Source organism: Homo sapiens, chromosome 6 (genome assembly GCF_000001405.40).
Source record: "Homo sapiens chromosome 6, GRCh38.p14 Primary Assembly".
Lineage (NCBI taxonomy): Eukaryota > Metazoa > Chordata > Mammalia > Primates > Hominidae > Homo > Homo sapiens.
The window spans coordinates 79,631,819-79,659,542 of NC_000006.12; the positions used below are offsets into that span (position 1 = coordinate 79,631,819).

The 27,724-nt window shown below is 38.6% G+C and overlaps 1 protein-coding gene across 5 annotated transcripts in view; it reads left to right on the forward strand.

Annotated features, from left to right (window-relative positions):
• Positions 1 to 27,724, forward strand: part of SH3BGRL2 (SH3 domain binding glutamate rich protein like 2) — a 166,023-nt gene that overhangs the window by 94,186 nt on the left and 44,113 nt on the right. The window contains exon 1 of one of the 5 annotated variants that reach the window (XM_011536165.3): positions 18,192 to 18,566. The exons of the other annotated variants lie outside the window; for them this stretch is intronic. Coding sequence (XP_011534467.1) covers positions 18,546 to 18,566 — 21 coding nt within the window. The 5' untranslated portion in view covers positions 18,192 to 18,545. Of the gene's footprint in view, positions 1 to 18,191; positions 18,567 to 27,724 lie in introns of those variants that run through there. 5 annotated transcript variants of the gene reach the window in all.

A 27,724-nucleotide genomic window follows, 5' to 3' on the forward strand; every position in this document is an offset into this window, starting at 1 on the left:
AGAGCTTCGGGGATCCCCCTTCCCCTAGTTTAGTTCTTCCCGATTTGGGACCTTCAGACTGGTTATGTTTTGCACGGGAGCCTTTTCTGCTGCTTTGGTTTGTTACCCTAGCTCCTGAATGAAGCAAGTTTAAGTGGGAATTGCTCTCTGTCCTCCCTTCCCCGCCAGCAAGTGCATTTGTTTAGTTTTATACCTGCGCAAAGAGAATAGTAAAACTAGGTTTGTCCTGTTGTGGTAGGATTGTTTGCTTTCACTGTCATTTTTTTTCTTAGGGTGCCATAAATATTTTTACATCTTTATGTAAATGTGTGTGTATGCACGCATTTTCTTTCCACCTGTAATGCTGTGGAAATTTTATCCTGGGGATCTATGAATTGTGGTTTTCTATTTAATTATTTTTAGCTATTCTCTTTGGTGGATGTTCTTGAATTTTTTTAGAGAAAAAAAATTTTTTTAAAGAAAGGAAAGTTAAATAGCTAGAGATGTCAGAATTTAAGGAAAATTCAGTAGTTAGTATATTTGACAGCCCACTAAGGGACATAGCACATGTGTTTTACATGATTATTGAGACTTGGTTTCCTTAACCAAGAGTTCAGCTATAGATTTAAGAGCCTCCTTTGTGACATATATAATCAAGTAACATCAAAAAGTGCATTGTAGATTGCTTAAATTTGGTCTGGTCAATTGTCTGCCCAGTAGCTCAGTCAGATTGTTCCAAAATTTGTTTCTTAAGTGGGTGGAGTGGAGGATGGAATAAAATATTGTTTGAAAATCCTTGTACACCACTGAAGTTTTTTATTTAAAAAGAAACCAACACGATCATACAAAGCCCCTCCACCCCCATTTGCACTAGAAACAATAGATGGGAAAATCCAACTTACACTTATGTGCAGTCATGTTGGGGTCCTCAGACTTCTGACAGTTTCTGGTGTTTCTAGCTATTTGGGTTGCTTAGTCATGCCTGCCTTTTGTAGATTTCCCCACTGAAGCCACACTTCATGTGTTTGCAAACTGGCACTGTTTCAAGGGTAGATTTGTTCAAATGCACTCCTTACTAAGAATGCTACAAAGCTCTTGGTTTCACCACCGACTTGCATGCTTCAATAATTGTCCCAATAGCATTATATTGATTATGGAAGGAATGGTTTTTATCCCTTCCACAAGAGATAAAGCCTAGGCTACTTTGGAGCAAGTCGGACCAAGTCAAGGTAATGACTTGGCTTACTCTATTAGTAGGTAGTATATTGAGATAGTTTTGGTACTCCACATCTTTGTTTTTTCAGTGCCATTGGCAAATATTTATTGCCTGCCTGCTGTGTGCCTTTTTAACTTTTAAATTTAATGTTTTGTGTTTTGCACATGGAGCTAAAATTAAGAGACTTAAGTTTTAGTGTGGGCCCCAACTAGTGCAGTGTAAGCCTGGTTAAGGTACCTCATCTCTGCCTGAGTTTCTCTTCTGTAAAATGAAGGATTTTCATGGATAACTCAGAATTGCACACTCTAGCTTTAAAGTATTTTGACTTCACCAGGTGAGTAAATATGGATGAATCCTTATAACAGCTTCTTTTGCTTGAACAATATACCTACCTATTAGTCTCAAGGTAATAGGTATACCTATACCTATTAGTATAATACCTATTAGTATAATAATATACCTATTAGTCTTCTTTCCTTGGACATTTTATTGTGAAGGCTCAGATCCCCTCAATGCCCTGCCTCGTAGCATGTGTTCTGACATGGTTTCATTTGAGTTAGAAGACATACACAGTTACCACATGCTTACAGACTATAAACACTAATTATCTATTTTAATATTCTGCTGTTTGAAGACCCAGTCTTTTCAGGTTTTAGAAAATCCTTGTTTGTTCAGTCTCCTCAATTATATCTTATATCAATACAGTTATTCATTGAGTCTCCCCAATTGTAGTTTTATCTCCTATATCAGTACACAGTTTATCTGTAATATCCATACTTTTAGTGATGTTAAGGTTATGTTCATATGTAAGAATAATGATTTCTAAGAACCAGTGAGGATATTTAGGTCAATTCTTGGGCTGGCGAGGCTAATGGGGCCAGTAGCATTAAGCTATATTAAGCTTTAGTGGCGTAGCCATGATGTGTTCCCTCCAGAAGTGTTGGGTTGACTGTTGATAGTGTTTCATTTGGTACCCAACTGTGACGAGCAAGTGCATGGGAGAACAAATAATTTGATTCTTGAGTCAGTTTGGTTTTAGCTGAAGTTTATTAAACCACAAGGAAGGGATGTGACCAGAATTAGACTTAGCCAAGTAAGTCCCAGAATTTCCAAAAAGATGCTCCGCTTCAATCATCAATAGATTTAAACAATCTATTTAGAGAAAATCATCCTGTTTTCTTCTGATTCCCCTAAGCTCTCCAGCTTCAGCAGTTGGAATAACTAACACCAAGGAATGATTCCTCTTTTGTCTTCCCTGGCTCCAGGTGAAGTCAGTTTTTACTAGGAAACAAAAGCAATGCCACATTATTATGCTACAGATACCTGAAAAATCGGATTTCTTATTCAACTGACCATGTTGCTACTCATTCACATTGTATTGTAGGGAAATTTTTTGTTCTCAGTTCTAAGAAAATAATATATTCATAGAAATGTCATTTTAAAATTTAATTTATTCTGGATGTATTCCTGAAAGGGGAAGTCTTAGTAACTTTGTCCAGGAAATATGTGAATATGACTTTTTACTTTAAAAACATTGAAATCCGTCAATTATTTCATTTATTCCGTCAGTCAGTTATTTCATTTACTCATTCAACAAGTATTTTCTAAGAGTCTGCTGCTTGCCTAGCTCTGTCCTTGGTCTTCTGGGAAGCCAGAGAATAGAGGGTGTGATCTGTGTCTCCAAGGAATTCACAGGTAGGAGATGAGTTAGGAAAGGTAGTAAAGTACAGCCTAAGGACACATGCTTCTTGCAGGAACATTCTTACCAGAGATAGAAAAATATAGGAGGCAGAGAGATGCATTGCAGGATGTCAGATAAAGAGGAAATGTGCCAGAAATCATAAAATATGCATGTGACAGCCTTAGGCAGATGGCAGGGAGAGGAACTGGGTTGGATTTGGAGCCTGGGAGAGAGTTCTTGAGCCCATCCTGCTCAAGCTGGAAAGGGGGAGCTTTGGGTGGGACAGGGTAGACTCCTGAAAGAAGACTGAAAGAAGCCCATGGTGACAAACTCTGTAGTGCTTAGCATCTCAGAGATGTCTTTAGTTTCTGCAGCTTGTCTGCTGCCTGGAGCCTTTTGTTTCTCAGGGAACATGGAGCTGCCTGGCAGTGGGGGAGCCCTAGTTGTGTGATTTCAGAAGAATCTTTACCTTCCTACTTGCCTTGACTAACATTTCTCAAAATGTAAATAAAATCTTTTACTCCTCATTAAAGTTCCTGGGCTCTGTTAGAGTTGGACGGAAACCTAAAGATATTTTTAGTGAAGCCCAACCACCTAATTTTTTGGAAAAGGAAATTTAGGCATAGAGATTAAGTGGCTTTTCCGGAAGCCATTTATGTCCAGTCAGTGCAGAGCTGAGATTTCATAGGAAGCCAGATTCCTGATGTCTGAATGCATTCATTCTTGCATTGAATGACTCATATATTCATCAGACAATCACTGAAAACTTACTTACCCAGGTTCTGTATTAGGTGATGTAAGGTGCTAGGTGTATATGATGGTCAGAACAGACATGTACTCTGCCCTCATGGCATAAATCAGTGCTGTCTCTCTCCAGTTCAGAGACTTGAGATGCAAACTGTTTAATCAAGGATAGTGAAGGACTGATGCTGGCTTGGGAGATGTTTCCATGGGGCAGGGTGAAATGAGCTAGACATCAGTATATCCCTGGATGTTGGAGAGCAACCATCACTGGGAGCAAAAGATAGAAAGGTATTGGAAGCAAACTTGGAAATCATGGATAGGACTTCAAGTGAGGGTGGGTGTGGAAGGGAAACACATGGAAACCATGCTCAGAGTTGTCTTGCTGTTTGCAACTGTAAAAAGTGCATACCTACTGCTTTGGGTGATTTATAACTATTTTATACACACAATTACCAGGTAAGGTGTTACATCCCCGTGAATGTATTCAGTGAGGCTTCCCTGTGTAAGGACACCTCAGAAAAGATTTCTACATCTTAAACTGATGAGTTTAACATCAGTTAAAGTCAGGATGTGATCATGTAGAATAGAGTGGGTATTAATTCCTAAGTTACTCTAATAACACGAATGAGAGTATAACTGGCCACTTTAGGATCTTTAATTCATTGGATCATCACTGACACATGGCAGGGTAATTATTAGTATTTATTCCCATTTTCCAGAGGAAGAGACTGAAGCAAGCTGACCAGATTGAGATCATACTCAGGTGGGGGGACCTTTAGTCAAACCCTGGTGGGCAGGTGGCTTTAGAGCTGCTAGAGTAGAAGTTCTTCCTGTGGGCTCTGTAGCATCCTGGGGGAATGAGAGTATCAGAGGTACTTCACATCCTACAGTGTGTGGGACAGCTCCGCACAGAGAACTGCCCTATCCAAAATGCAAGTGGTACCCAGTGAACAGAAACAGGGCTGAAGGACATTGGCAGAGGAGGTTGTGGAGTGAGGTTAGGGAAGAGTTGGGAGCATACAAGTGATCAGAAGAAGCAGGAGTAAGTTGGGGGCCCAAGGAGAGGATGTGGTGGTGATGGAAGGTAAGAGTGAGAAAGTTTGTATATTAGTTCTCTAGGGCTGTCATTAACACAATACCAAAAACTGGGGTGCTTAAATAAAAGAAATTTGTCTCAACATTCTGGAAGCTGGAAGCCTGAGATCAGGGAGTTGGTGGGGTTGCTTCCTTCTGAGGGCTGTGAGGGAGAGTCCTTTCCATGTCTTTCTCCTAGTTTCTGGTGGTTTGCTGGCGATCTTTGGCATTCCTTGGCTTGTAGATGTATCACCCTCATCTCTGCCTTCACATTCATATGGCATTCTTCCTCTGTGCATGTATCTTTGTGCCCAAATGTTCTGTTTTTATAAGGACACAGCCATACTGAGTAGAGCCTACCCTAATGATGTCATCTTACCTTGATTATCTGCAAACATCCTATTTCCAAATAAGGTCACATTTATAGGTACTGGGGGTTAGGACCTCAGTATCTTTTGGGTGAGACATAACTCAACACATAATAGCATGCAACATGAGGATTGAAATAAAAAGACTAATTTATGGAGTTTTTCTCATTTAATTGGAAAGACTGGGCCACATTTCTTGACACTTAAAGGCAGCAGTGGGATATTGAAGTATATGGAACTATAGTCTATGTATGAGGTCTTCTGCTAGAAAATAGGATTTATTAATATCCCAAGTGAAGATCTAACCTCAGTTTTTCTAGTACATTTTAGTATTTCCCAGATTTGATGTGCTTTTAATCCATTCTTCAGTAACATTTAAACTTAAAAATATAATCAAGGATATGAACTCCTTTATGAAATTAGGAGCTGTTTACCCATTTGTATTTGGATACTTTAAGCATTTCAATCTACTTGAAGAAACTAATTTTTTTTTAGCCAAGATAAAATAATTTATTTGAAAATCAAAATGTGGCCGGGCACAGTGGCTCATACCTGTAATCCTAGCACTTTGGGAGGCTGAGGCAGGTGGATCACGAGGTCAGGAGTTCGAGACCAGCCTGGCCAGTATATAGTGAAACCCCATCTCTACTAAAAATACAAAAATTAGCCTGGTATGGTGGCAGGCACCTGTAATTCCAGCTACCTGGGAGGCTGAAGCAGGAGAATCACTTGAACCCAGGAAGTAGAGATTGCATGAGCCGAGATTGTGCCATTGCACTCCAGCCTGAGTGACAAGAGTGAAACTCCTTCTAAAAAAAAAAAAAGAAAATGTATTTCACTTACAATTACATAAGAAAACAAATCGAGCTGATCAAGAACTATGTCTTTGAGTGCAGAGATTGGTGGTGTTTTATTTCCCTGAAATTCTCATTGACCCAGTTATTCAAAGAAAAACATATATGATAATGTTTCAAAATTATATGCTATTAGAAAGAAACATTAAGATAAGCTTTAAATTCTGGAATATACTTCAAATTCTGCAAATATTCTTTTACCCATTATAAGTAGCATACAAACTATTTTTATTAAGAAAATAGAAGAATTAGAAGTTTTTTTAACTGACACATAATTATACATATTTATGGGGTATCTAGTGATATTTCTGTATATATAATGTATAGTGATCAAATCAGGGTAATTGGCTTATCAGTCCCCTCAAATATTATTTCTTTGTGTTGGGAATATTCAGAATCTCTCATAGCTATCTGGAAATATCTTACAATGCTATAGAATGCTAGAACTTACTCCTCCTATCGAGTTGAGAACATGTATTTATCTTTCTGTCCCTGGCTTATTTCACTTAATGTAATGTCCTTGGGTGCATTCATGTTGCCATGAGTACAGGATTTTATTCTTTTTATGGCTGAATAACATTCCATTGAGTATATATACCATATTATCCATTTGTGTGTTCAAGACTTAGATGGATTCCATGTCTTGGCTATTGTGAATAGTGCTGCAACAAACATGAGAGTGCAGATACCTTTTTAATACACTGATTTCTTTTCCTTTGGATAAATTCTCTGTAGTGGGATTGCTGGATCAAATGGTAGTTCCATTTGTGGTTTTTTGAGAAACTTCCATACTGTTCACTATAATGGCTGTACTCATATACTGCTTCCCACCAGCAGTATATGAGGTCCTCTTTCTCTGCATCCTCATCAGCATTTGTTACTTGGGGCCTTTTCGATAATAGTCTAACTGGGGTGAGATGCAATTTCATTATCATTTTGATTTGCATTTTCCTGATGATTACTGATGTTAAGAATTTTTTTTATCTATTTGTTGGCCATTTGTATGTCTTCTTTTGAGAGCTATCTGTTTAGATCACTTATCCAATTTTAGTTGGATTATTTATTTTTTTGCTGTTGTTTGGGTTCCTTGTATATTTTCAATATTAATCTCCTGTTGACACATAGTTTGCACCTTTTCTTCCATTCTGTAGGTTGTCTTTTCACTCTGTTGATTGTTGAGGAAACTAAATTTTGACATATATTTATAATATGAAAAACAAGGTGGTTTGCACATTGCAGGAAGACTCATGTAAGATGGTGTATTGATTTTTTTCTGTTTTTCAATTTTTAAAAATCAAAAATTGAAAAGGAAAAGAGCTATTGATGGTGAAAAACTCAGCAGGCAACAGGAAGCAGTGTGAGGTATTAACTAAACAATATTTCTTCCTTAGTTATTTTTCATCTTTGATTTATAAAAAGTTCTTAAATGAATTGTGTTTTTTTCTATCAAATTAGAAATGGGTGACAGAATAGAAAAAAATCTAGAATCATAGTGAATGTTTCACTTTCTAAAGTAGAAATTAGCATGACTTACTGATCACTATATATGAAAGTTTAAAATACTTTATTATGTGCCAGGTGCAGTGGCTCATGCCTATAATCTTTGCACTTTGGGAGGCTGAGTCAGGCAGATCTCTTGAACTCAGGAGCTCGAGACCAGCCTGGGCAACATGGCAAAACCCCATCTCTACAAAAAATATAAAAATTAGCGGGGCATGGTGGCATGTGCCTGTAGTCCCAGTTACTTGGGGGGCTGAGGCAGGAGGAGTGCCTGAACCTTGGGAGGTCGAGCCTGCAGTGAGCCGAGATTGCACTACTGCACTCCAGCCTGGGTGACAAAGTGAGACCTTGTCTCAGACAAACAAACCCCAAAACCATCACCACCAACAACAAAAATACTTTATTTTGAAATGCATATTTAAAAATGGGGTCTAGAAATTATTATTTCACCTGCTAAATGTCAGTTTTTAAAAAAATCACCCTCCAAGCTCTAAACTCAGGAGACCCTTTTAGGCTTCAGGAGTTTTTCAGCAGGAATTCCTTTAAATGGGTATTATTTTAGCTGGAGAGTTAGTTAGAGATTTAAGTTCTATTTAAGCCACATTCCTGTATTCATTTTTTTCTGTGATTGATTTTATTTTATACTGTTTATCCGTGATGCAAAAAAAGAGGTTAGCCTTAAAAATTTAGTGAACATTTTCTTTCTTCTGTGAAATGGCAAGTGCTTGTTAACTTTTGTGGGGACTCTTCTACTTCAGGTTATATACAGTTGTCTTTTGAGGGTCCTCCTTCTAGTTTTAGCTTAAGAACATATCAATGAGCCTTTCTGTTTAGCATTTTTAGATAGTGATGAATATGTGCCATGTGTTAGTTTTTGGGGGGCACTGGGGTGGCTTGGAGGAGTAGGGCAGGAGGGGAGGAGCTGGAGGTTGGAAGCCTGTACCAGCTAGAAACTGCACAACCCAATTTAAGGCAGTGCAGTTTCCCTTCTGTCTCCCTCTCTTAATAGGCTTATCTGACTTCATCTGTCAGCACTGGCTAGTTTCACAGTGGACTGTGGTAATTTAAAGGGTTAGTATTGCTATCTCTTTTATATTTGATTGGTTTATTTTCTAACTCTAAAACAGAAATAAAGCTTGGAAAAGCACTTAATTGAATGTTTCCCTTCTGGTTCATGACAGCTTTGCAGTGGAATGGAAAGCTGAACTCAGATGCCAGCATCCAGGCAGATGGGGCCCCACCTCCCTACAAACTTAGGCACTTTTAGGCTGGCACAGCCTCTGGGACAATTTGGGAACAATTTTGTTGGTCACCTTTGTTACTATTGACAGCTTATTCCCAAGGGGATCTACTCTTTTGAGCTGGTTGAGTATTTGGCAGAACTCCAAGGGGTTGTTTCCTGGAGCTGACCCCTGAAGTGGAAGGTATCCGGCAGGGTGTGTCTGCTTTGCTGTGGGGTCTTGGTGGGCCCTCTGCCAGCATTGCTTCTCAGCTCTTGGAGCAGACAGGGAACGTTGGGTGCGACTGAGGGCAGGGGGTTCTAACTAATTTAGGATGTGTTTGCCATTTCCTACTGGGTCATGGCCCAAATATGAAATGACTTTTTGTCATCTTCAGTCTAGTGGCTTTGAGAGTGGAGGACTGAGAGTAAGAGACATACAATTAGGTGACTTGATTGACAGGTCAGTTCAGTGGTATTTGGTAAATGCAAATATAGTTAAAGTCAGCAGCTATTGCTACATACTGATCTAATATTAAAAACAAAACAAAGCAAAACAAAAAACCCAAAGAGCAATAAGCATAGCTTTTGAGTTAGCTTGTTTTCCTTCTGCATGTTCCACAAGACGTGGGAGTGTGGTCTTCTTCATTCATGACATTCCCATGTGTATTAAAGCTCAGTGGTTCTCTCACCCTTTTGTGTGTGTGTGTGTGTGTGTGTGTGTGTGTGTGTGTGTGTGTGTGGTTTGTTTTAAATCACAGTCTCTGCTTATCTTTCACTGGTTCTCTTTTAATAATTATGTTCATTAGCGTGGTTTCTTCAAATGGGAATTGGCCACCTTTATAAGCCTGGGCCCTTCATTGATGGGAGTTTAGATTTCACTGTTCTTTTATGAGAAACAAACTGCTTACTAGCCAAAATAAATGTTTGGGTTGAGTATGCGCTGATTTCTTTAATTCTGGAGTCAGTTTATATTCAACCCATGCACCTACCTCTCTGTCCTGGCTATGGCAATCTATCATTAGAGAACAGTGTTATGGTTAAGGCGGGGGCTGAGTCCAAATCCTAGCTCTGCCACTGATGAAAGGCATGACCTTAGACAAGTAACCTTAGCCTCTTCATTTGTGTAAGTGGGATAGGAATGGTATTTTATGCATAGAAAAGCTCTTATGAGCTTTGAATGAAATGAATGATTTTGCATTAGGCATTTAGCTGAGTGCCATGACATACTGAGAACTCAGTGCATGTTACCTACTTTTTCTGTATCATAATCATCTTCAGTAGTAGTAGTAGTAATAACAGTAAAAAAAAATCACAATGACCTTGAACTGTGTAAGTTCCTTAACAGTCCAAAAATTATATACAGTACATACTACTTACTAGGCTGAGAACGCATACAGGTATAATTTTAGGAGAGATTTTAGTAAATTTAAGTGTAAAGGGTTTTCCACTTAAATGTATAAGAACATTATAATTTGAGCAGGCCATTCACCAAACATACCATTAGTTAGAGTTCTGCTGTAATGTTTGGATATTTTATAGGTACATGGCATGTTGTGCACGACCCATTCAGATCATATTTTCACTCCCTATAAAGTGCTTACTACTATGCACATAGTCACTATTCTTTGCTATACATAATACAGTCAGCCCTTGGTATCTGTGGGTTCCATATTTGTGGATTCACCTACCTGTGGATCAAAAATAATCAGAAAAAAAGTGGACAGTTGCATCTGTACTGAACATGTACAGACTTTTTCTAGTCTTCATTCCCTAAATAATATAGTATTACAGCTATTTACATAGCATTTACGTTGTATTAGATATTATAAATAATCTACAGATGATTTAAATTATACCATGTTTTACATAGGTTATATGCAAATACTATACGACTTGATATAAGGGACTTGAGCATCCAAGGATTTTGGCATCTAAGGGACACCAAATATACTGTGTATGTTTTTTTTAGAGCCCTGGCTTGATCTAAGGATTGCTGAATAATGTATAGATTTCATCCCAAATGACAACTCTGACTGTTGGATAGTAGCTGCCTGGAGAGCCGGGAGAGGGGTTTTGGAGCCTTGATTGGGATCAGCAGGAAAACAGTGTGATTGATTGTTGATGCCTGCTCTGGTACCAGAGAGAGGATCAGGACTTATGCCACGTATTTGCCATCCCTGCCTTAAACTTCATGTATTTAGACTCTGTCTTTCAGATTCTTGTAACTGATACAGAATATGTTGAGTCTGTGAGTAACCGGGAAAAGGAATATGAAACACCAAGTTGAATTGATGGATATCCTCTGCAAACATCATGCCTTGTCTGTCACCCCAAATTTGGTGGGGGTTGGGGACAGTGAAGGGCCAGGATTTCTGTGTTTAATGAAGATGAATGGAATTTCCTAGAATCCTGACTGTGAATCTGAACACTGTGAATTTTGAATACCTGTGAAACATAAGTTGGGCTGGCAGATGGGCAGGTAGATGATGGTAAAAGCAGTAAGGGGCTTTGTGGAAAAATGTGGGAGACAGGAGAAGGAAAAAGACACCTGGAAGAGGGGACCCATTGTGCTGAGCTTTGGAACACTGAAAGGGCAGCTGAACAATTACTCTTTATCTGTGTCCAGCAATGTGGTACAATATTTACTTTATGTCATTTCATCTTTACAATTGTCCTACAAACTATGATTTCTTATACTCATTTTACAGATGAGAGTGTTGAGACACAGGGTAATTAAGTAGCATGTCTAGGATTATTCAGCTCAGCGGTAAAACCTAGATTCAAACCCTTTTCTTCTGATTTTGTGCCTGGTACTTTTTATATTGCCCCACATTGCTCACCAGAAGAGCCCCTGACCAAGAGACTGGTGAGAACCTGGGTTGTGCTATCGCAACAAGCATGCTAGAATAACAGTGTCTGAGCTCAAGCTGTAATAAAGAGAGGGAATTGTGCAGGACTCCTGAGGAGTGGTTCCAGAGGTCTCCACTCAGCTGCTGAGCTGATAATTGTAGGCATGATGTCCTTAGATCATGTGATAGCAATGGCTTTGCTTCTTCAGAGACTGATGGAAGCTAAAAGGAGTATGATTTAAAATTGAAAACTAATATTTCGTGATAATAATAATGAGTACCATTCACATGTGCAGGCAGTACTAGGGGGCTTGCATTTGTTATTTGTACTCCTTAAAGTAACTTGGTATAGTAGCTATTCATAATTACCCTGCCCCCTCACAGAAGAGTAAGAAACCCAAACTTTAAACAACTTGCCTTGTCATAGAACCCAAAAGGTTGAGATAGCCAGATCTGTACCGTCTTCCTCCTATAGATATGTCCCAGAGGAAGACTTCAGAAGTTAAAGGAAATGAGAATAGGCAGTGCTCCGAAGAGACTGTTTAATGTTTTGTTGGATGTCCTGAAACTAAATGTATGATTTCCTTCGAATGTGATTCTCTTGCTGTGTGTGATAAAGTTGAATAAAACCAACTTGATGGGTTGAACTGGAAGGAGTAAGATTCGATGGGAGGGCAATAGGTAATACGGGGAAAGAAAGGTTGGCCAGGATGGCTGTAACCCAGAGATGGGGTCATAGGCAGAGATATTTAATATATTGGGGCCTTTTGGGCAACAGATCCATGGGGACAAATGGTTGCTGTGGAGGTGTGCGCCCTCATCCTTTACATCTTGAACCCTAGGTTACTAGGAGAAATGTTCTCTATGCTGATTATGCCCTGTTGTATGCTCTGCACAAAGGTGTTCTTGTGAGTGGAAGGAGTTTATCAATATATTGCAGCCTACTGAGGGAGTTGAATGCAAGAGAGGGAGTAGAAAGGAGGAGGCCAGAGTTGGGTTTGTTGGTGGAAGGGAGGGAATTGAGGGTCTGGGGGAGTGTAGACAGCCTCCATCTGTAAAGGGAAAGATTCAGTCAACACACACTGGTAGGGAGGAGGCCTGCAGGAGTGGTCAATGAAGCTGCTGTTTACACTCTTCATCTGTCCAGTTTAATTGCTCCAAGATCATTGTGCTTTGTTTATTGTCAACCATCTCTCTAATATTAGATTATTTATATGTAAATTATTGAGAGAGCCTCATAAGCTTGGTAGATAGAAGAAATTTGTGTGATACAAGGGCAGTGATGAGTAGAAAGAATGTAGACTCCAGGGGCAGGAAGACCTGGATTTGAATTATGGATCTGATACTCTAATGGGCAAGGTGGCTGAACATGCCTTTTTACTTCTCTGGATCTCAGAAAATCTACTTGTAAAGTTGTTGAAGCTTAATGAAATTGCAGCCATTATTATTATTGAGTGTCATTTAAATTGAAGTTGGCAATAATTTTCTGATTTTTTTCAACTTTAAATGAGCTATAAAGATTTAATTAAGGAAAAAATAATGTTCAAATAATCAGATAATAGGTCCTGAGTTGGCCGGGCGCGGTGGCTCACCCCTGTAATCCCAGCACTTTGGGAGGCCGAGATGGGCGGATCACCAGAGGTCAGGAGTTGGAGACCAGCCTGGCCAAAGTGGTGAAACCCTGTCTCTACTAAAAATGCAAAAATTAGCTGGGTGTGCTGGCAGTCGCCTGTAATCCCAGCTACTCAGGAGGCTGAGGTAGGAGAATTGCTTGAACCCAGGAGATGGAGTAGGTTGCAGTGAGCTGAGATTGCACCACTGCACTCCAGACAGAGTGAGAGTCCGTCTCAAAAAAAAAAAAAAAATAGGTCCTGAGTTAAATGGAACATAGCCTTAGGAATACCCCAAACTGTCATTGTTTATTAAGGTTAGTGTAGGCTGGAAGTCACAATCTGGTTGCAAGTCTGAAACACCCTCTTTCGAGTTAATATACCATTTTAAATTCTTTTGAGCAAATATTTTAAATACTGGGAGTTACCTTTCTTAGACACAAACATAACCTGGATTTCCCATTCTTCTTAAGACATCTGAAGATTACTTGATCCTGGCACCTCACTCCATTGTGGTATCATGGCATCTTGGCATGGATCCACTGGAACTGAGTAGTGATGCCCCCTTGCCTTAGGGCCTGTATCCTTGGTGTCTACACAGCCCCTCATCATTCTCACCATTTTCCCAACTCTGAGCCATTTGTTACTGAGCTTGTATATTCTTTTATCTTATAATAGAAAGTATTTCTTGGCATCTATGTCTATCAAAAGTGGGAAACCATAAGATTATATCGAGAAGGCTATATATATGTTTCAAGAAGAATGGGAGCCAGCAAGTTTGTGTGTGTGTGTTAAAGGAAGGAAATAATAGTTTTAAATGGTTATTAGTTGTTTGCTGGCTTCATTATTTCACATTATTAACTGTCTGACTTCTGTTGGCATTTGAATATTTGATTCTTTGGAGAGGTTGACTACTGTGGGGTTAAAAAGTACCTGTCTATTTGCTATGTGCTTGGTGCTAGCATGGTGTCAGCCTCTAGTCACTCTGTAATCTCAAAACTGCTACTCTGAGGTTATTAACTCTAGGGTAGAACTGCCTTGAAAAGCTTGAAAATAGTTGATCATACCCTAAACCAGGGTTTGTCATCAGTGGCATTATTGACATTTTGTGCTGGACAACTCTTTGTTGTTGGGGCTTGTCTTATATATCGTAGATATAAAGCAGTTTGCCTTATTTCTACCCACTGGGTGCTAGTAGCACCCTTCCTCCTGGTTGCAACTACCAAAAATGTCTCCAGACATTCTCAAATGTCCCCTAGGGGGCAAAATCGCCCCTGGTTGAGAACCACCACTCTACAGTATCAGAGAGGAAATGGTCTCAATCTGAGAGGACTCAGACTGCTTTAAAACTGGAAGGAACTGAAGAGATCGTTTAATTCATCTTCCTCTTCTGATAAGGTATGACCTGTTAAATGACTAGTTCAAGTCTACATTGCTTCCAAGCTCAGGATCCATTGTCCTAATACTTCTAGAGCAGTGTATTATGGAGCTAGCATACTGCATTGGAAGTTGGGAGACTTGGAATCTGGTTCTGGCGTTGCCATTTAATCAGCTTTATGTCTTTGGACAAGAAACTTGGCTTCTCTGGGCTTCAGGTTTTTTGTTGTGTTGTTGCTGTTGTTTCATAATTGAGATATAATTCACATGCCATAAAATTAACTTTTAAAAATTGTATGTCCCAATGTGTTTTTGTGTGTGTGTATGTTTACTATGTTGTACAATAATCTAATTCCAGAATATTTTATCACCCATATTCATGCCTATTAGTAGTCACTCCCCATTCTCACCTCCCTCTAGCTCCTGGCAAGCACTAATCTGCTTTCTGACTCAATGGATTTGCCTCTTCTGGACATTTCATGTAAATAGAATCATAAATGAAACCTTTGATGTCTGGCTTCTTTCACTTGGCATAATGTTTTTAAGGTTCATTCATGTTGTAGAATGTATTAGCACTTCATTTCTTTTTATGGCTGAATAATACTCTGTGGTATGAATGTACCAGAGTTTGTTTATCCATTTATCAGTTGATGGATATTTGGGTTGCTTCTACTTTTTGGCTATGATGAATAATGCCGCTCTGAACGTTTGCGTATAAGTTTTCGTATGAACGTATGTTTTCAGTTCTCTTGGGCATATACCTAGGGGTGGAATTGGTGGTTTGTATGATAATGCTGTATTTTGTGTTTTTGAGGAACTGCCAAACTGTTTTCCAAAGTGGCCATTTCATTTTACATTCCCACTAGCAATGTATGCAGGTTCCAGTTTCTCTGGATCCTCTCCTACATTTGTGATTATTTGTCTTTTTCATTGTAGCACTTTTAGAGAATGCAGTGGTATCTCAGTGTGGTTTTGATTTGCATTTTCCTAATGACTAATAATGTTGTTTTTTTTTAAAGAAGTGGTTGTGGGTATCTTTTTTTTTAAAATCTCTTCTAGCTCTGAATTTCAGATTTTTCTTCTATTCCTTGCGCAGACCATATGAATAACAGAATTGAGTCTTTAGGGAATATATATTTTGGAAATTAATGGGTTAATCAACTCCTATGTATTTATGAATATCTTCTATTGTCCAGTGTTCAGCCATGTTCAGGATGCAGAATGAGTATATGGCATGATCCTTCCCCCCAAACAACTCTTAATCTTGGGGAGCAAAGATGATCATAGAAAATTGGTACAACACAGGCTCATATGGAATATAATCCTAAATGTACTCATCCTATAGGTAAGTCAGGAAGGCAGGTATATCTAGTTGGATGAAGGCAAAGAAAGTCATCAGTGCTAGATAGAAAAATAGCAAATCTTGAATTGGGAAAGTGGCTGTTTTTAAGATTCTAAAAAATTTTACTTATTTAAAAGACGCCAGTGGAAAGTTAAAAGACCTAAATATTTTGTATTTATTGTGAATTGGAACAGATGTTGCTTTCCCTGTTCTTTTTTGTCAAATACATAAATTTGATTTGTATATCCACGCTGCCCTTTGTTTTAGACTTAATGACCCCTTTTTTCCATTTGTATGTATTTCCTGTAGTGTGAGAGCAAGACAAGTGGCTACCCTGTAGTTAATTCCACAGCAGTGTTTTAATAGTGAGCTTGGTTCTGAGAGATAATTAACACAAATGAAATGATTAATAATTCACCTTTGAGTTCTTTTTCCATTAAAGGGAAAAAAATCATCTTGTTAACAAGATTAAATCTTGTGTGTTAGGTTCAGAAACCTAGAAAAACTTCACTGACCTTTCAGAGCTTACAGCTTCAAGGCCTTTTTGGTCTGGCATTTTGGGCCCTATGTGATCTGATTCTGACCTACCTTTGCAACATTTTCTCTCTCTATTCTTTTGGCATATATATATATATATATATATATATATTTGACATATATTATATATAATATATATATAAATATTTGACTTATATATATTATATATATAATATATATATATGGCTTCTTTTTGCTTTTTCTCTCAATTTCCCATCCCTTTCTCATGCTATTTCCTTTGCCTTATTGTGCTCACTTTGCATTGTGTCTAGTAAGATTGCCTCATTTCTTCAAAGCCAGTGGCATTGCTATTTCCTGATGAAGGTTATTCTTTCCCCTCCCTTCCACCTTTGCCCTCCAAACTGAGAGATTTTTTCTTCCACCTCCCTCCATGCTGTAGATTGTGGAATGTCTTCTCCTGGCCTCAATGCAGTCAAGGTTCTTTGAGTTCTTAGTTCTTCACGGTTAGGGACCTGTTCTGTTTATCTTTTAATTCCCCCACGTTTCCTTTTAGAGCACTTGGCACATAGTATTTTATTGAATGAATGCAAAAGAAACACTGTTTCTGTATTTTCCATATCAGAATAAAGCTAATCAAGAGTTTATGACCATGTCAAAGAGGAACGGGATTAGAGTGTAGCTAGAAGTCTACTTTGGAAAACATAAAGGCTGTGAGGGACAAGATTTATTTTACTGCTCTTAAATAAGTGGCAGGAAGAATCTGTGTTATTAAAGATAACTTTATTGTAGAATTCTATTCGATATCAGAATTCTAGAACCATGTAGAATGAAGCAGGAGACCTGGAAGGAAGCAGAAAAGCCACTGAGAGGTGATTAGCTCTTCATTCTACATTCTTCATGGCAGAGGGCCACCCTGTAGGACCACCTCACCCAGAGGACTGTTAATGAAACAGGCAGAAAGTCCTCAAAGCCCAAGTGAGGGAAGTCATAATGGGAAGCTCTGAGAAGTGACAGCTCCCTTCTTAAGGCAGAATTGGAGAATTCCAGAAGCATAGTTTTAGACTGTGTTTGGCATAGAGTGAAACAGCAGACTTACATTTGAATGGACTCTGGGAATGTCAGCACACCACATCAAAGTACAAAAATGGATAATCATGAAGATTCTTAGTCTAGAACAGATTAAATCAGGTTTGGCATATTTTGGTTTGATGTCTTGGCTTTACAATGCAGAAACATATGTGGTATATTTTAGAAAGATTTCTAAATAGAAGTAGTTTAAAATAAAATATAATAATAAATTTGTGTTTGGCAGGGTGAGCTTCAAGTATACAGAAAACCTTAATTTCCAATTCCAGGAGAAAGTAGGTTATTTGCTCCTACCTCTGGCCCCCACATTTGTAGCACCTTTTTTTGCCTTTCATCATCTCTTCTTTTTACCTTTCATTATAATACTTACAGACTTTCTTTTCCCATCATCCTAGGAGCTGTTCTTTTTGTGTTTCTCCTTTTTATGTTTCTGCTGCTGTGCTTCTCTTCTTTGTCTACACATAGGTATAGCATTTTAGCCCCCATGCACTTTTCCCTTTGATTGCCCTGGCTCTATAGGCATGCCTCTGTTAATGCCAATTTCAAATTGAAGTTACTTGTAAGCAAGCTCTGTTTCTTCCCTTTAGACTTTGCACTGCATCAAATTAGAGGCTTTGTTTTGTCACCTGTGTTTCTCTAGTTCCTCGGGAAGTGTCTAGCACAATGAAAGTCCTTGTAAACGTCTGAGTGAACCTCTTGACCTTTTTAAAGGGTTTTGTTTTGTTATTTTTAATGCTAGTTCTTATGTACTCTCTCTCTCTCTCTCTCACACACACACACACACACACACACACACACAGTTACCCTAATTCTCCTTTGTTAATTTCTTCACTTTTTCTTTGGAGTCAAGATGGAATGGAGAATTATATGGCTGAAGATATAGAGAAATTTGAGGTGGAGAGACCAGAATTTGCAGGCACACTCCAAGTTGGACATTCTTCTATTTGGAATGCAGGAATTAGGATCATCTGAGGGAAGGGCAAGTGCCTGTAGAGATTTCAGAAAGATACAAAAGTTCCCAGTGGCAGTTATGTAGGACAGAAATAGCATTGAATCTCCAGCCAAAGTTAGATAGTTGGAGTTTTCAGTAGACAGGGAAGCTAACATTACTCAGTAGCCCAAGGAGGGAGGAAAGTACCGATGAGATGACCAACTCAAGACAGAAGGTGAGTCCATAGAATGCAGGTGTCTTAGTCCATTTGGTTGCTATAAAGGAATACCTGAAGCTGGGTAATTTATAAAGAAAAGAGATTTATTTGTCTCACAGTTCTGCAGGTTGTACAAGAAACATGGCACCAGCATCTGCTTCTGGTGAGGGTTTCAGAAAGCATCTATTCATGCCAGGCATCACATGGAGAGAGGAAGGACATGAGAGAGAGAAGGGAGGAAGGTGTCAGGCTCTTTTTAACAGTCAGTTCTCAAGGGGGAGACAAGAGTGAGAACTCATGCACTGTGGTCAGATTGGCATCAAGACATCCTTGAGGGATCTGCCCCCATGACTCAAAAACTTCCTGCCAAACCCCACTTCCAACATTGACAATCAAATTTCAATGTGGGATTTGAAAGACAAATATCCAAATTATCAGCAGGTGAGGGCATCCAGACTTTCCCTTAAGTATATCAATTTATGCCTACTATGGAAATGTGAACTAATTATATAAGGATAAATAATTATATAAAAATATATAAGTAATATATAAATAATGTATAAATATATAAATAATTATGTAAACATATAATTATATAACTATTAAAATGTAATTCTGGAAATCATCCTGTTCTTTATTATTTTTCAAATGTAAATAGAAGTCGTTTTTATATAATCTGTTAGGATAACTTTTCACACAATTGAGGACTGACTGATACAGAAATGAGAACAACATATTACAAAACACATTGTGTTGCAGAGTGGCATCTACGCACATTGATAAGGACATGGCCTTTGGCTGGAGTCCTGCAATTCTTGTCTATAGAAAATACTATCCTCAGCAGGATTTCCTTCTTACTGTGGAGGATTTTGACTGTTACAGCAATTTTTGCTGTAACTGGTCTTCTACAAAGTATCCTCTAATTAACAGGAGGCACGTGTATGAAGAGTTGTATATAATTTTCAGAGAGAATCTCATCAAATAGTGGCACCGTAAATTCATATTTTATGCTTGGCTGACTTTTTTCTTTAGAAAATAAACATACAATCTTGACAGGAAATGTAAAAACAGTAAAATCCAACCACCCTCATCTTTCATTCCATGGTTCTGCTAACGTTTTATTAAGGCTTTACATCACTAAGTATTAAGGTTTCTTTTTTTAATGCAGACTAAAAGTAGTTTGTTATACACATGTTGATGGAGAAAGTAGTTAGAGCCACTTGCATTACATCAAACGGGAATAAATCAGCTGCTGGGTATAAGCAGCCCCTCTGAAGCTACCTGACTGAGACCCATGGGGGTGCAGATGTGATGTGCACATTGTCTTCATCCTCCAGAGAGGTTGATGGTTGTCAGGGAAAGAGGCACAGACACATGCAACTGTTATTAAACAGTGCAAGGCTGTATATTATTACATGCTAGTTTGTGGTGACCGTGGGTATAAATGGGAGTTTGGTGAAGGAGATGATTCTGGAGGGCAGTGGTTAGATAAATCAGGGTTTCCCAGCCTTGGCACTGCTGGCATTTTGGGCTAGATAACTCATTATTGTGAGGGCTGTTCTGTGCATTTTAGGATGTGTTAGCAGCATCCCTGGCTTCTACTTATAGGTGCCAGTAGTATCCTTCTCCCAAATTCCCTCAGCTGTGACCACCAAAAATGTCTTCAGACATTGCCAAATGTCCCCCAGGAGGGCAAAATCACCTCCAATTAAGAACAACTGGGTAGGCTTAGTTGAGTGCAGTGTGGATTTGAGGCTGAGTTGTGAAGAATAAATAGAACTTGGATAGGAAGTATGGACAATATGGAGGGGATTTTAGTGGAGAAGAACCTTTAAAGTGAAGACTCAGAAGTGTGTCTGCAGCAGGGCTACTCAAAGTGTGGTCCATGAACTTAACTGTGTTACCAGTGTAAGTACTGCCATTGAGGGTAATCATTTAGAAACTTTTATAGCGACTTTACTGAGTAATTTTATCAACTATAGTAATGAAAACTTCAGGTTTATAGCTTATCTTTGTTATTTAATTTTTCTAGAAATTAGTTTCTTGTTTTATAAAAGTATCATTCTGCAACAGATTGGAACATTAGTATAAGAACGACAGCAAACTGGTCCTTGGCCACTGAGACTCTGAGAGAGGCTGTAACCAGATTGGATTTCAGGTGTACAGTAGGACATGAGGTAGGCTAGGTATGGCCCAGATGGAGCATGGAGTCAGAGTGGTTTCTGAGATCTCTCACGGTGCCTGACATCTTAGGCCTGGTACTCAATAAATATTTTCAGGATGAATCAATGCCTGAAAAACCTCCATGCAGAGGAGAATAGACCTAGCAGTAAGGAGGGGGGACCCAGTGGATATTTTGGGTTGGGGGTGACTTTTAGAAATTTTTTTTTTAAAGCAGGAACTATAATCACATCATGTAACACTATGTAACGTTCTATATTTTTGCCTGCTGATATGTAACATAGTTAAGTTTATTACAAACATTATTTCCTAAGACTTATGGTATAATAAGTGCTCCTTTTCAAGTATTAACACTTAATAGTGTTTAATCTACAATGTAACATTAGGTAAATCAATGATAAATGTATATAATGCAATACACTGTGCCACCTTTCCCTACCCTGTGTTAAGGTATTATTAACAAAATCAATTAAGAAAAAAACAAGACAACTATTATAACTGAAACAAGGCTATGAACATCACAGATGCATGTCTGAGTAGATAAACAGCATTTCCCCTTAACATGAAGGTCATTTTGTCAAAGAGACTCCTATATCTTTAGGTTAGCATTGTTTTAGCAGCAGCTAGTCTTCAGGACAAGATCAAAAATTTCAAGCAAAAAAGACAACGAGTTATTCTGAGAAAACATCGATCCACGTTACTAATAAAAGAAGCAAACTGCTGGTTTCACCTTAACATAAAATTGGGTGTGTTCCCTTTCACATGTGATTCATATTTAATATCATTCTGTCTGTCTCTGTGGTTTCAGTCTTTAAATCATCTGATTATCTCCACTTAGGAACCTTTCTAATTGCTTACCCTGGAACCATAATTATTCGAAGGTATAATTTATATATTTTAGAACTTATCATCAAATTATGTGTGTCCTGGCTGTTGGGATTTGTAAACAGTCTAATGTCTGGCGTAAAGTAACTTTTGTGATTATTTGGCAATATTTATAGCTGTCCTTTAAAGAAATAAAGGAGAGTACATTTTGGTTCATTTACATTTTCTGTAAATAGAGAAAGGCCTGTGCCCTTGGCACTGTTTTCATAGTGAAGTTAGTGGGTCTGTGCCTGAATTAGCAGTGAAGTGAGGAAAGAGATGGGGTATGGAAAAGAGTAATTGAAAGGAGCTTAAGAAAGAGTGGGCATAAACACATGAAACCGACAAAGATTTGGAAAGCACCCCAGAGATGGCAGCAGCAGGTTTTGGGGTGGAGAATGGTCTGGCTGTTGGCCAGGGTGACTGAGCCATGTATGTTGCATTGTCCCGCTGGCTAGCTCAAGCTTCTTCACTTGGTGGTGGTCTCAAGGTTCTAATAGTGGTAAGAAGGAAAGCCCCAAGTACTTTTCAGTATTCTGTTTATATCAGTCTTGCTAATCCATCAAGATTCAAGGGATGGAGAAGTAAACTCCATCTCTTGGTGAGAATAGTTGCGTTGTCACAGTGTCAGGGTGTGGATGCACAAGGTAGAGAATTTGTGAACACTTTTATAACTTGCTGTAGTGTATGAAAAAAGAAATAATTTTTTTCATTAATAGTCCAAATCTTAAAAGAATACTCCAAATCAATTGCCACTTATTTTAACATAGCTGATGTGAAGTACTGTGGCTTACAATCCTATTTTATTCATTTATTTATGAAATATGATTGTATTCACTGAAGTTTTGAGAAGGAAAGGTAAGAATATTTGGTGTGGCATTACCACACTGTGATTTATTTTTGCTAAAGATCAAGTGAATTTTCCAGTCCTTTCCAGTGAACAAATGGATGGAATTTGTGTGGGATTTTGTTTGACAATATGTGCATTGTAGCTCAGAGTTCAGAATCTTTGTTTTGATTTTTACAAATGCTGTTTTAGTCCCTGTTCTGTTTTCTTTTCTCATAGTTTCTACTCCTTTACAGATAAAGACCGATGGTGAACCCCCTAACTTGAAATGCTTTTGTTGTTCCATCTCGATCACGATTTTGTTGGGTTTGCTAAGCCAAAGGTGAGCTGAATTAAACCCACCGAATAAATTTATGCTTCATCTTGGTTGTTGTTCTTGGCTGTATTATTCTTTTACTCTCCCTACAAGCTTCAAGAGGTCTAGGAGAAATATTTTGATAGATGTTTCTTTGTCTTCCTCTTAGAGAACTTGATGCACACCTGGACAAAAGGACGAAATAGCAGGTGGGATTGGAAGTGTCATGTACCTGCTTGAGGGGGGTGGTGTTAAGGTTTGATCCCTTTTACTTTTATTCCTCTTCGGTGCAGATATCTGATTCTATTATGGCTTGCCCTGGGAATCTGTCTGAGAACACTGTGGCAGTTCTTCCTTGTCTTAACCTGGTTTACATCCTAGCAGGAAGGTACACTTTAAGTAAGCTATTACTTAATTCATTAAAAGTGTAATTAATCTTATAAAGGGGGAATTAATGACACAGTGAAAATGTTTACACGCAAAACTCTTACCTAACCTGGGTGTTTTTTTTGTGTGGGGGGGTCGGAGATGTGGTCTCACTTTAGCACCCAGTCTAGAATGCAGTAGTGCAATACCTGGGTGCTTTTGTCAGGGAAGATTTACTTGAGAGGGTGACCTTAAAGCTGAGGGCATAAGAGGGAGCATATGAGTTAGCTAGGTGAAGCTGGAAAGAGGTTTCATGGGCTGCTGACTACCTTATGGGAAGTTTTGATACAGGAAGGTTCGTGGTTCCCCTAAACTACTTTTGTACCATGGGTACGATTGAGCAGATGAAGGGAGACTGCATAGGGTTAGTGTAGAGCAGTGGCCCCTTAAGCTTAAGCATTACTTGGGAACTTGTTATATTTGCAAATTCAGTTTTTTTTTTTAAACAGCACTATTGAGATATGATTAGCATACCATTTAAACTATTTAAACTATACAATTCGGTGGCTTTCAGGATATTTGCAGAATTGTCAGCTATCACCACAATTTAAGAACATTTTATTACCCCACAGAGAAATCTCACACCCCTTTAGCAACGGGTCCCCAAGCCCCCCACCTTTCTCACTCCAGCCCAAGGCTACTACTAATCTGCTTTCTGTCTACATGGTCACCTATTCTAGACATCTCATACAAATGGAATTATATGATATGTGATCCTTTATGACTGACTTCTTTCTCTTAGCATGATCTCAAAGTTCATCCATGTTGTACATGTATCAGTACTTCATTTTTATGACTGGATAATGTTCCATTGTTTAAAGATATGAAATGCAGATTCTTGAGCCCCATTCCAGTCTTCCTGAATCTGAAACTCTGGGGGCTATTCACCCCTCCATAATCTGTGCTTTAACAAGCCCTCCAGGTGACCCAGATTCACCCAAGGGTGGAAAGCCACCTGCAGAGGGAGTGGGAGGGGAAGGTAGTTGGAGAGTTGGGCACTTCTTATCACTGCCTGGGCCCGGGTATGGACTTTTTTCTTCATCTTAAGGATAATGAGAAGGTACTGAAAGGTTTTTAAAGCAGAGGCATGAAATCATCTAATTTAGGTTTTTTAAAGAAATTCATTTTAGCTTTTCTGTGTAAAGTGGTTTAGAGGAAATCTAGCTAGAAGAAAATGTAGGAAGCTCTAGAGGAGACATGAGGGTTTGGCATGGGCCAGTGGCAGTGAAAATGGAGAAATATGGATGGTTTCAAGAAAAAATTTGAAAGCAGAGAGGTCATGACTTGCTGGTTAATTGCATCATCAAGGTGAGTCAATGATGATGTCCAGGTTTCTAGATTAAGCTGGTGAATGGGTGGTGGTGCCATCGCTAAGATCTTCTGAATTTTCTGGTTTTCTGATATGTGAGTAAATCTTAGTCACCCATTCTTCCTTCTAGAATCCACTCTTCCAGGCAATTCCTAGAGGAAACATGGGATAACATTTGAGTATATACCATGTGGAAAATACTCCTGGGACGACGTATCACAATACATAAAAGGACCATAAGTACAGTTGGCCCTTCCGTATTTGCAGGTTCCACATCCTTGGATTCAACCATCCATGGATGAAAAATATTCAGAAGAAAAGAACAGTTCAACAATAAAAAAATAAAAATTTAAAAAACAATAAAGGGTAACCACTATTTACATAGCATTCACATTGTATAAGGTATTATAAATAACCTAGAGGTGATTTAGAGTATAAGGGAGGATATGTGTAGGCTATATGCAAATACTACACCATTTTACATCAAGGATTTGAGCATCCTTGGATTTTGGTATGGGGGTTGGGGAGAGCTCCTGAAACTAATTCCCTTCAGATACTGAGGGACAACTGTAACATAAATATGAATGTGTGTGCACACACACTGAACCTGCAGTAACTATATATTAAAATAAAGAACATACATGAGAAAATGGGAAATAAAGGTGTCACCAAATTGTTTAGACTTAGGGGTGTGTGTACAAGTCTTTTGAAGCCTGATGAATTTGCATAATTTAGAGAAAAGAGATGGGGCGAGAGGTTTGAGGTTGCAGTCAATTCTGAAAGGAATGCGCAGCAAGATTAGATTCCAGGGTTCTGAAGATGAGATAAACATGGGAATCGCTGATGAGAGTAGGACCAGGAGACTATGGAACTTTTTTTTTTTAAATCAAGAGCCAATGAGGAGTATAAAATTCTGAAAAGGCAGTGATATACGCTTAAGAAGAACACTCTTGTCTGCTTTTAGATGGGAGAGAGTAGGACAGTAAAGAAATTCTTGGAGGTATCAGCATCAGTGGGATAGGAAAGGGACTGTAGCAATGGGGGAAATAGGTAAGATATAAGCAATAGTAGAATTTCCAGTATTTGGTAGCTGAAGGAGACAGTGAAGAAGAAAGAAAAGGAGATGACTTTGTGGTTACTAGGAAACCAGAAGAGGATGTGGCTCTTGTAGCTGGTGGTGGAGGAGTTGTAGGGAGAAAGGGCTGTGGAAGACGCTGATTTTAGTCTTTTGACATGAACAGGTAATTATGGAATTAAAACTTAAACATAGTTTTGAGAAATAAAGTTATTAAATTTGAGGTAGCAGGTTTTATAGACTTGTTAATTTTTTTTAATTTTTTTTTTTGAGGCGGAGTTTCGCTCTTGTTGCCCAGGCTGGAGTGCAATGGTGTGATCTCGGCTCACTGCAACCTCCACCTCCCGGGTTCAAGCGATTCTCCTGCCTCAGCCTCCTGAGTAGCTGGGATTACAGGCACCTGCTACCATGCCTGGCTAATTAATTTTTTTTAAATTTTAATTTGCTTCTAGTATTATCCTACTTAGCCATTTTTAAATTATACAAATAATTAAAAGCAAATATTGTTTCATTAATGTATGATCTGGAATGTGAAGGGAATTGACTAACCTATTCTGAAAATACAGTTCCCAGTTGGAAAATATGTACAGATAATAATTTGTTAGTAGTGGATTAGATTTAATTCAAGTTAATAGGAAGAAGCATCCAGCCACGGGCAGGGCGGTAGTAACCTCTTTTTGATCGGTTCTAAAATATTCCTTTAAACTGAAGAACAGTAGACTGTAAATTCTGACACCTGCCCAAGTTTCAGTTAAGGAACTAAATGAAGTGATTGGATTTATTTTATTTATTTTTATTATACTTTTAAGTTCTAGGGTACATGTACACAGTGTGCAGGTTTGTTGCATAGGTATACATGTGCCATGGTGGTTTGCTGCACCCATCAACTCATCGTTTACATCAGATATTCTAATGCTATCCCTCACCCAGGCCCCCACCACCCGACAGGCCCCAGTGTGTAATGTTCCCTGCCCTGTGTCCAAGTGTTCTCGTTGTTCAGTTCCCACCTATGAGTGAGAACATGCGTTGTTTGGTTTTCTGTCCTTGTGATAGTTTGTTGATAATGATGGTTTCCAGCTTCATCCATGTCCCTGCAAAGCACGTGAACTCATCCTTTTTTATGGCTGCATAGTATTCCATGGTGTATATGTGCCACATTTTCTTAATCCAGTCTATCATTGATGGACATTTGGGTTGGTTCCAAGTCTTTCCTATTGTGAATAGTGCTGGAATAAACATATGTGTGCATGTGTCTTTATAGTAGCATGATTTATAATCCTTTGGGTATATACCCAGTAATGGGATTGCTAGGTCAAATGGTATTTCTAGTTCTAGATCCTTGAGGAATCCCCACACTGTCTTCTACAATAGTTGAAATAATTTACACTCCCACCAACAGTGTAAAAGCGTTCCTATTTCTCCATATCCTCTCCAGCATCAGTTGTTTCCTGACTTTTAATGATTGCCATTCTAACTGGCGTGAGATGGTATCTCATTGTGGTTTTGATTTGCATTTCTCTGACGACCAGTGATGAGGAGCATTTTTTCATGTGTCCGTTGGCTGCATAAATGTCTTCTTTTGAGAAGTGTCTGTTCATATCCTTTGCCCACTTTTTGATGGGGTTGTTTTTTTCTTGTAAATTTGTTTAAGTTCTTTGTAGATTCTGGATATTAGCGCTTTGTCAGATGGGTAGATTGCAAAAATTTTCTCCCATTCTATAAGTTTCCTGTTCACTCTGCTGGTAGTTTCTTTTGCCGTGCAGAAGCTCTTTAGTTTAATTAGATCCCATTTGTCAATTTTGGCTTTTGTTGCCATTACTTTTGGTGTTTTAGTCCTGAAGTCCTTGCCCATACCTATGTCCTGAATGGTATTGACTAGGTTTTCTTTTGGGTTTTTATGGTTTTAGGTCTAACATTTAAATACTTAATCCATCTTGAATTAATTTTTGTATAAGGTGTAAAGAAGGGATACAGTTTCAGCTTTCTACATATGGCTAGCCAGTTTTCCCAGCACCATTTATAAAATAGGGAATCCTTTCCCCATTTCTTGTTTTTGTCAGGTTTGTCAAAGATCAGATGGTTGTAGATGTGTGGTGTTATTTCTGAGGCCTCTGTTCTGTTCCATTGGTCTATATCTCTGTTTTGGTACCAGTACCATGCTGTTTTGGTTACTGTAGCC